Source organism: Homo sapiens, chromosome 4, assembly GCF_000001405.40.
Source record: "Homo sapiens chromosome 4, GRCh38.p14 Primary Assembly".
NCBI lineage: Eukaryota > Metazoa > Chordata > Mammalia > Primates > Hominidae > Homo > Homo sapiens.
In genome coordinates this window covers 143578483-143591754 of record NC_000004.12, presented here as the reverse complement: position 1 = coordinate 143591754, position 13272 = coordinate 143578483, and the positions used below count along the sequence as shown (strand labels likewise).

The window sequence follows — 13272 nt, the reverse complement described above, 5'->3', positions numbered from 1 at the left end:
CCTCATAGACATCTACAGAACTCTCCACCCCAAATCAACAGAATATACATTCTTTTCAGCACCACACCACACCTATTCCAAAACTGACCACATAGTTGGAAGTAAAGCTCTCCTCAGAAAATGTAAAAGAACAGAAATTATAACAAACTGTCTCTCAGACCACAGTGCAATCAAACTACTACTCAGGATTAAGAAACTCACTCAAAACCGCTCAACTACATGGAAACTGAACAACCTGCTCCTGAATGACTACTGGGTACATAACGAAATGAAGGCAGAAATGAAGATGTTCTTTGAAACCAATGAGAACAAAGACACAACATAGCAGAATCTCTGGGACACATTCAAAGCAGTGTGTAGAGGGAAATTTATAGCACTAAATGCCCACAAGAGAAAGCAGGAAAGATCTAAAATTCACACCCTAACATCACAATTAAAAGAACTAGAGAAGCAAGAGCAAACACATTCAAAAGCTAGCAGAAGGCAAGAAATAACTAAGATAAGAGCAGAACTGAAGGAGATAGAGACACAAAAAACCCTTCAAAAAAATCAATGAATCCAGGAGCTGGTTTTTTGAAAAGATCAACAAAACTGATAGACTGCTAGCAAGACCAATAAAGAAGAAAAGAGAGAAGAATCAAATAGACGCAATAAAAAATGACAAAGGGGATATCACCACTGATCCCACAGAAATAAAAGCTACCATCAGAGAATACTATAAACACCTCTATGCAAATAAACTAGAAAATCTAGAAGAAATGGATAAATTCCTCGACATATACACTCTCCCAAGACTAAACCAGGAAGAAGTTGAATCTCTGAATAGACCAATAACAGAATCTGAAATTGAGGCAATAATTAATAGCTTACCAACCAAAAAAAGACCAGGACCAGATGGATTCACAGCCGAATTCTACCAGAGGTACAAGGAGGAGCTGGTACCATTTCTTCTGAAACTATTCCAATCAATAGAAAAAGAGGGAATCCTCCCTAACTCATTTTATGAGGCCAGCATCATCCTGATACCAAAGCCTGGCAGAGACACAGCAAAAAAAGAGAATTTTAGACCAATATCCTTGATGAACATTGATGCAAAAATCCTCAATAAAATACTGGCAAATTGAATCCAGCAACACATCAAAAAGCTTATCCACCATGATCAAGTAGGCTTCATCCCTGGGATGCAAGGCTGGTTCAACATACAAAAATCAATAAACGTAATCCAGCATATAAACAGAACCAAAGACAAAAAACACGTGATTATCTCAATAGATGCAGAAAAGGCCTTTGACAAAATTCAACAATGCTTCATGCTAAAAACTCTCAATAAATTAGGTATTGATGGGACGTATCACAAAATAATAAGAGCTATCTATGACAAACCCACAGCCAATATCATACTGAATGGGCAAAAACTGGAAACATTCCCTTTGAAAACTGGCACAAGACAGGGATGCCCTCTCTCATCACTCCTATTCAACATAGTGTTGGAAGTTCTGGCCAGGGCAGTCAGGCAGGAGAAGGAAATAAAGGGTATTCAATTAGGAAAAGAGGAAGTCAAATTGTCCCTGTTTGCAGATGACATGATTGTATATCTAGAAAACCCCATCGTCTCAGCCCAAAATCTCCTTAAGCTGATAAGCAACTTCAGCAAAGTCTCAGGATACAAAATCAATGTGCAAAAATCACAAGCATTCTTATACACCAATAACAGACAGAGAGCCAAATCATGAGTGAACTCCCGTTCACAATTGCTTCAAAGACAATAAAATACCTAGGAATCCAACTTACAAGGGAGGTGAAGGACCTCTTCAAGGAGAACTACAAACCACTGCTCAAGGAAATAAAAGAGGATACAAAGAAATGGAAGAACATTCCATGCTCATGGGTAGGAAGAATCAATATTGTGAAAATGGCCATACTGCCCAAGGTAATTTACAGATTCAATGCCATCCCCATCAAGACACCAATGACTTTCTTCACAGAATTCGAAAAAACTACTTTAAAGTTCATATGGAACCAAAAAAGAGCCCACATCGCCAAGTCAATCCTAAGCCAAAAGAACAAAGCTGCAGGCATCACGCTACCTGACTTCAAACTATAATACAAGGCTACAGTAACCAAAACAGCATGGTAGTGGTACCAAAACAGAGATATAGACCAATGGAACAGAAGAGAGCCCTCAGAAATAATGCCACATATCTACAACTATCTGATCTTTGCCAAACCTGAGAAAAACAAGCAATGGGGAAAGGATTCCCTATTTAATAAATGGTGCTGGGAAAACTGGCTAGCCACATGTAGAAAGCTGAAACTGGATCCCTTCCTTACACCTTATACAAAAATTAATTCAAGATGGATTAAAGACTTACATGTTAGACCTGAAACCATAAAAACCCTAGAAAAAAACCTAGGCAATACCATTCAGGACATAGGCATGGGCAAGGACTTCATGTCTAAAACACCAAAAGCAATGGCAACAAAAGCCAAAATTGACAAATGGGATCTAATTAAACTAAAGAACTTCTGCACAGCAAAAGAAACCACCATCAGAGTGAACAGGCAACCTACAGAATGGGCGAAAATTTTTGCAACCTACTCATCTGACAAAGGGCTAATATCCAGAATCTACAGTGAACTCAAACAAATTTACAAGAAAAAAACAACCCCATCCACAAGTGGGCCAAGGACATGAACAGACACTTCTCAAAAGAAGACATTTATGCAGCCAAAAAACACATGAAAAAATGCTCATCATCACTGGCCATCAGAGAAATGCAAATCAAAACCACAATGAGATACCATCTCACACCAGTTAGAATGGTGATCATTAAAAAGTCAGGAAACGACAGGTGCTGGAGAGGATGTGGAGAAATAGGAACACTTTTACCCTGTTGGTGGGACTGTAAACTAGTTCAACCATTGTGGAAGTCAGTGTGGCGATTCCTCAGGGATCTAGAACTAGAAATACCATTTGACCCAGCCATCCCATTACTGGGTATATACCCAAAGGAATATAAATCATGCTGCTATAAAGACACATGCACACGTATGTTTATTGTGGCACTATTCACAATAGCAAAGACTTGGAACCAACCCAAATGTCCAACAATGATAGACTGGATTAAGAAAATGTGGCACATATACACCATGGAGTACTATGCAGCCATAAAAAATGATGAGTTCATGTCCATTGTAGGGACATCGATGAAGCTGGAAACCATCATTCTCAGCAAACTATCGCGAGGAGAAAAAACCAAACACTGCATGTTCTCACTCATAGGTGGGAATTGAACAATGAGAACACATGGACACAGGAAGGAGAACATCACACACTGGGGCCTGTTGTGGGGTGGGGGGATGGGGGAGGGATAGCATTAGGAGATATACCTAATGCTAAATGATGAGTTAATGGGTACAGCGTACCAACATGGCACATGTATACATATGTAACAAACCTGTACATTGTGCACATGTACCCTAAAACTTAAAGTATAATAATAATAAAAAAAACACAGGATAGCATGTTAGAATGGTAAATTTAACATTTTTGCATTTTAAAGAGGTGCTAAATCAAGAGAGGGGGCTCGAAGGAGACCATTTGGGCAGTATGATGTGTGCCACCTGCAATGTGGAGAACACAATGAACTGGGATCTGGCTCTGCCTGGAAAATCTGAATGTGGGAGATAAACTGGTTGGCTGCTTTGGTGGATGAACAAAAGAGAGGGACTGCATTGGGGTTAAGTGGTATTCCTGGAGTTTATCAAGGCAGAGGATGCAGGAAGGTTGCCATGGACCACATGTGAGCCATGCATACAAGAGTGAGCCAGAATGAACTTGTCCAAAGGTGCCATCTAGAGGGCTGAACAGAGGTACTTCCAAATGCTAAATAGGTTGAGGAATGATTAAGTGATCAGCCAGAATATATCTGTTTCATCCTCATCAAGAGAACTGCAGATAAGAGATACCCAACTGTGGGAGTGAGAGATCCCAAAGAACCTGCAGAAGTGCCCATGATAAACAGGATCAGCTTTTCTTCCATCTTCCAAAACCAAAGAGTACTGACATCCATGAAAGTGTTCAAGAAAGAACTTTCCTGCTACTCCTGCCTATCCTCCTTCTTTCCTGTCCCAACCGTGGAGGCATCAGAAACACCCATTAGCAATAATGAGGAGAAAGTTCTTGGTAAGAGAAGAAAGAATGGGATATGTGCATTACCCTGACCTGATCACTGTGCCATAAATATATCAAAACACCACTATGTACCCCATAAATACATACAATTACTACATGTTCATTAAAAAGAAAAGAAAGAATGACCCTACCACCCTTTTCTGAGTGCAGGCCACCTGCCTGCTGTATGCCTGAGGTGAGCAAATTGCAAGTGTATTCCATCACTACAGTTATAGAACTATTTGAAATGTTAGGGAAGCACAGAGTGAAGAATGATTATTTATTGAGGAAATAAATATGGCTTCCCAGAGAAGGCAACTCTTTATCAATAAAGTCTTAAAAAAATGAGTAGGCATTTGCCATATTGGCACATTCCAGCTCAGAGAACATCATCAACAAAGATGGAGGCTCACAAATGCATGCTGTGTTCAGTGTATTGGGAGCTGTTTGGCATAACCAGGACAGGAGAGGTCTTGCAGTTTTACTACTACTACTCCCTCAGCAGTTAAAAGATCTACTAAAATACATCTTGAAACAAATAATATTTACTAAATCTGATTCCTAGCCTCCAAAAATTTGAATTTAAATTCAGATACACTCCTGGTGCATTGCAATATATTTGCAAAGGTGTCATCTCCATAACTAATTTTCCGTTCAACAACCTCAAGGGGTTGTTCCTCCATGGTGAATCTGCTTCCTAATATTTACATTTTTTGCCTCCAGATGTCACAGCCAACAAAAGTATTCATCTCAAAATCTTTTTCATGACAGTACATATAGTAGGTATTGTTACAGCTAAGCCTTGTATATGCTTTAAATAATCACCTAAGTTCATAGCTACCTTTTAGAACAAGAGCGAACGGGGTATGGATAAGTGTATTTGCTTGGCCAAAGCAACATTCGCATTGTCAACCTCTTTCTCCTTTTAGAAGATGTACAATTCCCTTCTACCCACCGCTGAAGCCTGGTGTCTGTGCTGGTTGTTCTCCTTCAGCCTTCTTTTTCTATGGAGTCACTTCTTGGTCTCCTGGGGAAGCGCTTCTGGCATCTCAGCTAACAGGATCTCTCCTCCCCCTCATTCACTGCCCCAGGATTTCCATCTGTCCCTGTAATCAGCAAATGCCCTAAGAAAAGGCATAGCCATAGTGATCAAACTCAGAATTCTGGCTCAACTGTCCCTCCACAGGAAGAGCAATTTTCTCCCTGCCAAAAAAAGCCTCTCTAACTTCTCCACCATCTTTTCCCAAACAATAGTGGACTTGCCTGAGTTACAGCTGATTGGCCAATTTTCCCTAATAGGAAAATCTCTTCTATGTAATGGAAAGTTCTTAAAACAAAAAAATGAATAGCATCTCAACTGACTTCATCTCATGGCATTTCCTGGAGTCAAAGTCATGGTATGTGACTCTGATGTGGCTTTTTGTGTGTTTTTGTTTTTGTTCTCCCTGAGCTATATAAAAAAACAAGACCTATGGGATCTGTCATGTCTGACAATTATGACAAATGCCCAGGCTCACACAGGGCCAAAGGAGACAGTATACCAGGCAGGCTGAAGCATTCTTAGTGTATCTTTTTTTGCCTCTTTAGAACCTGTCCTGCACTTTGGGGATGCTGAATATCACGTCAATGAAAGTGCTCGCTACGTGGAGGTTTGTGTTTGGAGAAGAGGCACTGATCTTTCCCAACCATCATCCATCGCCGTGCGCTCCAGAAAGTCAGAGCAGGAGTCAGCAGAAGGTGAGAGGGCCACTTAAAGAATATATCATTATCATGATACATGTTTATGGTGGAGTCTAGTCTGTTAAGTGTAAGCATGCTTAGTCTTTGTTGATGGACTCTGAATGAAAGTTTCTCTGGCTTCAGCACGTAGATGGTTTGTATACATAATGACTTCTGCTGGTTACAAAATAAGTACATTATTCAAACAGCAGCCTTTATGATTCATTTATTACCCACTGGCTTGTCATGGGCTCACATTAATTTTTCCAAAGTTCAGAATATTTATAGATACCTAAAGCTGCTCATAAACAATATTTCAGATGAAATTACCCCCATAATGGCCAAGCAAGTCCCAACTCGTGGAAGAATCTCGTCACATATTAGACCTTTGAAGTGTAGGAGGTTTTCACTTCAGACTCAGGCATTTGCCTTAGCTTCAAACAGCATGTCTTCATGCCCTGCTCACCTTTGCATTTCCTGACATGGATGATCAAGGCCTAGCTGACAGCATGGCACAATTCTAGATATCATTTCCTCTAGAGTACCTGTCAGGTGCTTTATCAGAAAAAGAACAGGACCCAATAGGAAAAGAAAAGGACATTTCCATGTACATTGATGCCCACATTTTCTCATTTGCAGTTGTGACCTTTTGGTGTGGTGTTAGGTTGTTAATTTTATATCTTTCTAACTTTTTGATGTGAGCATTTAGCACTATAAACTTTCCTCTTAATACTGCTTTAGCTGTGTCCCAGAAGTTCTGGTATGTTGTATCTTTGTTCTCATTAGTTTCAAAAAAATTTCTTGGTTTCTGCCTTAATTACATTGTTTACCCAGAAGTCATTCAGGAGCAGGCTGTTTAATTTCCATGTAATTGTATGGTTTTGAGTGATCTTCATGGTATTGGTTTCTATTTTTATTGTTATATAATCTGAGAGTGTGGATGGTATACTTCTGAATTTTTTGAATTTGCTAATAATTTTTATGGCCAACGGTGTAGTCGATTTTAGAGTACGTGTATGTGCAGAAGAGAAGAATGTATATTCTGTTGGTTTTGGGTGGAGAGTGTTATAAATGTCTATTAGGTCCATTTGGTTAAGTGTCAAATTTGGGTCCCAAATATCTTCATTACTTTTCTGCCTTGATGGTCTGTCTAATACTGTCAATAGGGTGTTGAAGTCTCCCATTATTATTGTATGGTTATCTAAGTCTCTTCATAGGTCTTTAAGGACTTGTTTTATGAATGAGGATACTCCTCTGTTGGGCACATAAATATTCAGGATAGTTAAGTCTTCTTGTTGAATTAAACCCTTTACGATTATATAATGCCTGTCTTTGTCTTTTTTATCATTGCTGGCTTAAAGTCTGTTTTGTCTGAAATTAGAATAGCAACCCCTGCTTTTTTTGTTTTCCATTTGTTTGGTAGATTTTTTTTTTTTTTTTTTTTTTGAGACGGAGTCTCGCTCTGTCGCCCAGGCCGGACTGCGGACCGCAGTGGCGCAATCTCGGCTTACTGCAAGCTCCGCTTCCCGGGTTCACGCCATTCTCCTGCCTCAGCCTCCCGAGTAGCTGGGACCACAGGCGCCCGCCACCGCGCCCGGCTAATTTTTTGTATTTTTAGTAGAGACAGGGTTTCACCTTGTTAGCCAGGATGGTCTCGATCTCCTGACCTCATGATCCACCCGCCTCGGCCTCCCAAAGTGCTGGGATTACAGGCGTGAGCCACCGCGCCCAGCCTGTTTGGTAGATTTTTCTCCATCCCTTTACTTTGAACCTATGACTGTCATTGCATGTGAGATGGGTCTTTTGAAGACAGCATGTGGTTGGATCTTTCTTCTTTATCTAACTTGCAACTCTGTGGCCTTTTAATTGGGTCATTTAGCCTGTTTTCATTCAAGGTTAATATTTGATATGTGAGGATTTAATGCTGTCATCTTGTTGTTAGCGGTTTATTATGCAGACTCAATTGTGTAGTTGCTTTATAGTGTCAATGGTCTATGTACTTAAGTGTGTTTTTGTGGTGGCCATAATGGTCTTTCATTTCCATATTTAGTGCTCCTTTAAAAACCTCTTGTAAGGCAGGTCTGGTGGTAATGAATGCCCTTAACATTTGCTTGTCTGATGAAGATCTTATTTCTCCTTTTTTGATGAAGCTTAGTTTGGCTGGATATAAAATTCTTGGTTGAGATTCTTTTTTTTTTTTAATAATGCTTAATAAAGGCCCCTAATCTCTTCTGGCCTGTAGAGTTTCTGCTGAAAGATATGCTGTTAGCCTGATGAGGTTCTCTTTGCTGCCTTTCTCTTCTCTTTAGCTGCCTTTAATATTTTTTTCTTTCATGTCAACCTTGGAGAGTCTGATGACTATGTGTCTTAGGGATAGTTGTCTTATACAGTATCTTAAAGGGTTCTCTGCATTTCCTGAATTTGAATTTTGGCCTCTCTAGTGAAGTTGGGGAAATATGCATGGACAGTATCTTCAAATATATTTTCCAAGTTGTTTGGTTTCTCTCCCTGTCTTTCAGGGATGCCAATGAGTCGTAGATTTGGTCTCTTTACAGAATCCCGTATTTCTAAGAAGTTTTGCACATTCTTTTTTATTCTTTTCTCTTTATTTTTGATTCTGTTCATTCAGAGAACCTTTTTGCTATGAGATTCTTTCCTCAGCTTGGCCAATTCTGTTGTTAATACTTGCAATTGGCCCGGCACAGTGGCTCTCATCTGTAATCCTAGCACTTTTGGAGGCCTAGGCAGGTGGATTGCTTGAGTCCAATGTGGGCAACATGGCAAAACCCCATCTCTTCAAAAAATACAAAAAAATTAGCCCGGCATGGTGGTGTGCACCTGTAGTCCAAGCTAGTTGTAAGACTGAGGTGGGAAGAGCACCTGAGCCCAGGAGGTTGAGGCTGTGATGAGCCATACATTCCAGCCTGGGTGACAGAGTTCAAACCCATCTCAAAAAAAAAAAAGTAAATTAATTAATTTAAAAATAATAAATATTTTCAATCGTATTATGAAATTCTTGTAGTGTTTTCAGCTCTATCAGATCTGTTGGTTCTTTCTTCATTTCATCTTTCAGTTATTATATCATTTTATTATTATCCCTAGATTCCTTGGATTGGTTTTGACTTTCACCTGATTCTCGATGATCTTTATTCCTATCCATATTCTGAATTCTATGTCTGTTATTTCAGTCATTTCAGCCTGGTTAAGAACCATTGCTGGGGAACTAGTGCAGTCATTTGGAGGAAGGAAGACACTATAGCTTTTTGAATTGCCAGAGTTCTTACGCTAGTTCTTTCTCATCTGTATGGGCTGATATTCCTTTAACTGTGGTGTAATTTTAATATAGTCAATTGACTTTGTTTCTGGACGTTTTCAGAGGGCCAAGGCTTTGTTCAGGGTCTTCATATGTAGCTGAATTCTTGTCCTTGGTTTCACAGGGTGTTATATGCAAAGTATTTTTGGTTTTGAAGTTTGGGCTGTGATCTAGTAGATGGCGTGTAAGTGTAACGGCTGGTAGGCAGGCTCTTACTCAGCCACATGGCTCCTCTGTGCATTTGCAGCCATGTTCCCTCTCAGCACTCTAACAGTGTGGGTTCCTCTCTTACCTGAGTGCTGGCTGCAGATCTTGGCTTTGCACTCCTAAGCTATACACCGCAGCCTTGAGGCAAGCTCAGGCTTTACACTCCCTCTCCAGCTTGGGGGTGACGAGGACAGAGACCTTAGCAGTGGTAATGGCAAAGGGCTTTTGACTTGTCTCTTGGAGCTCCACCCCAGAGAAACACAGAGCCACTACAAATCAGAGTGGCTGCATTGTGAGCCCAAGCTTGGGGCACTGGGGAGGGCCTGCCTGGTGATGGGCAGGGAGTGCAGGAAGCTCACAGGGAGGACAGACTGGCCTCTTCTCCTTAGGGCAGCTAAGAGCTGGAGGTGTGAGTAAAGCACTCAGAATCTTTGTTCCTTTTCTTCTCTGGGGGCAGCAAGGGCAGTACCACTACAGTGGCAGTAACAAAGGAACTTTCAGTTGCCTCTGGGAGCTCCACCCCAGAGAAATGCAGAGCCACTGCCAATGGAAATGTTCAGCCAGGAGGTGGTGCAGCTGTGCTGTGGTCTTGAGCCAGGAGCCCTGTCTGGTGAAGAGCAGGGGGTTGGGGTCTCACAGGGAAGAGAGACTTGGCTCCTGTCCATATGGCAACTGGCACGGTAGAGGTGTGAGTAAAGCCCTCAGACTCTTTGTTCCTTCCCCAGTCTGAGGGCAGCACTGGCAGAACCACTGCAGTGGCAGTGGCAGAGGGGCTGTCAGTTGCCTCTGGGAGCTCCAGCCCAGGAAGACACAGAGCCACTACCAGTGGGAATGCTCAGCCAGGGGCAGGGCAACTGCTTTGCAGTCCTGAGCTGGGGGCCCTGCCTGGTGAACAGTAGAGGCTCCCAGGAAACAGAAACTGAGCTCCTCTTCGTATGGTGTTTGTGCCATGCCGGAGGTGTCAGTGACTTGACCAGCCCTTTGTTCCTTCCCCAGTCTGAGGGCAGTAAGGGCAGTACCACTGCAGCTGCAATGGCAGAGAGGTTTTGCATTGTCTCTGGGATTTCCTCCCCAGAGAAATGCAGAGCCGCCAATGACTAAAGGGTTCAGATGGGGACAAGATGGCTGTGCTGGGTTCCCAGATCAAGAGGCCCTACCCAGTGAGGATAACAGTGGCAGGGACTCGCATGGAGAACAGTCTGGGCAGTTTTCTATAATCCTGCTGCACTGGGCTGGAGGCCTGAGTTAGTCCTGAATCTCTTTGCTCCCTCCCAAGCCTGAGCGCAGCAGGAGCTGGGGTTGTGGAGCAGCAAAAATGGTGGCACTGCTACTTCTGGGAGCTCTGTCCCAAGGAAGTGCGGAGCTGCTACCAGCCAAGAGCCTAGGTGGGGCTGGGGTGGCTGGTGTCCCAGGTCGGGAGGCCCTGCCCAGTAAGAGGTAGCAGAAGCAGGACTCATGGGGAAAACAGTCTATTTCTCCATAAGGCAGCTGTGCTGTGCTGGGGGTTACATTAGTTCTCAATCTTTGTGCTCTCTCCAGAGCCTGAAGACTGCAGGGGCAAGAGCTGCAGACCAGCAAAACTGACAGGCCTGCCTGCTACCACTGGGATCTCCATCCCAGAGAAGTGCAGGGCTGCTACCAGCCTGCAAGCTCAGGTGGCCATGCTGGGGTCCCAGGCCAGTGGGCTTTGTTTAGTGAGTTCAGTGGAGGCAAGTTGTGCAGTCCATCTGCTCTTCAGCTCTGTGAATTCACAGAGCCCCTATCCTGGGGGCATGTGAGGCAGCAGGAGCTCCAGAGGCTGGTACCAGTGTTCCCAGGGGTCCAAAGCCCCTGGGACTCCATGCATGCCTGAGCCTTAGCTCTGCCCAGTCTCCACACAGTTCCCTGTGTCTGTCTGGAGGCACCAGTGGTAGGGGTGGTCATGGGGGATTTCCAGAGCCCAGGGTTGCAAAGGTTCATGGAAGAACTGTGGGTCCCAGGAGGGTCGCACTCACCATTTACCCACGGTGGGGATCCTCCCCTGGCTTTGCCCCAGTCCTAGGTGGGCAGCCGTCCTGTCTCACTCTTCTATGTTCTCTGTGGGTCATGTTGCTTCCTTGATGAATCTCAACCTGTCCACCTAGAAAATCCAGCTGAAGAGCTTGTGTGTTTATTCACCACTCTCTGTCCTCTCCATGAGAGCAGCACACACTAACAGCTTCTAGTTAGCCATCTTGGCACTCTCCTCCCCTTTTTTTCATTCTTTTTTAAGTTTTCAGACAGGGTCATTTCTCACTGTGTATGTATCCATGAAACCAAGAGTGAATAAACCCATTTGGTTAGGTGGACTTCTTTGCCTGTGGTTTGAAAGAGAAATTTAGATTCCTTTAGATAAACCTCTTTGCATAAAAGTAATGACGCCTCTGCTAGCTGTCTGGTAGGGATGAACTAATAAAAGTAATGTTCATGCTTGGGATAGTGATTCATGGGTTTAACAAGTAGAGTTGTAGAAGTAAGGTTTATACTTGATAATCTATTGAACCTAGTAAATATTTGACATCCGCTAAGGTTAGTTAACTATATTAATCTTATGTATATATGTATAAGGTGTTACTTGTTACATTAATAATTATTATAACTTCTGTGTTCTTAATGCCTACTATTTGCCAGATACTGTGTTAGCATCCTTGCTCTACCATCCATAATCTTCACAATAAACCTTATAAGGTAGCTATCATTATCCCCATTTTGCAGTTGAAGAAAAGAAACTGAGACTCAAAGAAGTTAAAGAATTAGTACAAGTAAGCAATAAACCAAGATTTGAGTCAAAGTCCATGAGATACAAAACCTTATCCATTACTCTCCTGCCTTAGTAATTTTCACTATAACCTTGTTTTTGTTTTTGTTTTTGAGACAGGCTCTCACTCTGTCACCCAGGCTGGAGTACAGTGGCGTGATCTCAGCTTACTGAAATATCTGCTTCCCAGGTTCAATTGATTCTTGAGCCTCAGCCTCCCAAGTAGCTGTGACTACAGGCACTCACCACCATACCCTGCTAATTTTTGTACTTTTAGTAGAAATGGGTTTCACCAGGTTGGCCAGGCTGGTCTCAAACTCCTGGCCTCAAGTGATCTGCTCACATCGGCCTCCCAAAGTGCTGAGATTACAGGCATGATCCACCGGGCCCGGCTTTTTTTGTTTTCTTAATGTCACTATTTGGTGCCTTTTAGAAAATTTTTTGGAGTAATCTCAAACTTACAGAAGAGTAACAAGTAGAGTGAGACGCTTTTTTTTTTTTTTGTCAACTCTTGAGTTTAAGTTTGGAACCATGTCTCCAAAAACTTACAATGTAATTCCTTCAAAGACATTCTCTTGTATAACCACAAAACAAGCATAAACTGAGAAATTAACTTGATACACTTGCATAATCTACTCAGACCTCATTCAAATTTCACCAGTTGCCTCAAATCATTCTTTACAGCAAAAGAATCCAGTTCTAAATCATGCATTATATTTAGCTGTCATGTCTGCTTTTGTTTTCTTCAACCTACAACAGTCCTCTCAACACCTTGATGCTTTTGAAGATTACAACCCAGTTATTATACTATATAGAATGTCTTCCAAATTTGGGTTTGTCTGATGGTTTTTCATAATTAGATTCAGGTAATGCATCTTTAGCAGGAATATCACAAAGATGATACTATCCTCTCATTGTATTCTGTCAAATGGCACACAGTTTCCATTTATCCCATTACTGGTGGTGTTAACTTTGATCAGTTGGGTAAGGTAGTATCTGCCAGGGTTCCTCATTATATTCCCTTTTTTCCTTTGCAATTAATATTTTATGGAGGAGTACCTTGAGACAATATAAATATTCTGT

General features: G+C 42.0%; 1 protein-coding gene across 1 annotated transcript in view; it reads left to right on the top strand.

Annotated features, from left to right (window-relative positions):
- Positions 1-13272, top strand: part of FREM3 (FRAS1 related extracellular matrix 3) — a 123374-nt gene that overhangs the window by 108921 nt on the left and 1181 nt on the right. The window contains exon 7 of the mRNA NM_001168235.2: positions 5762-5911. Coding sequence (NP_001161707.1) covers positions 5762-5911 — 150 coding nt within the window. The remainder of the gene's footprint in view (positions 1-5761; positions 5912-13272) is intronic.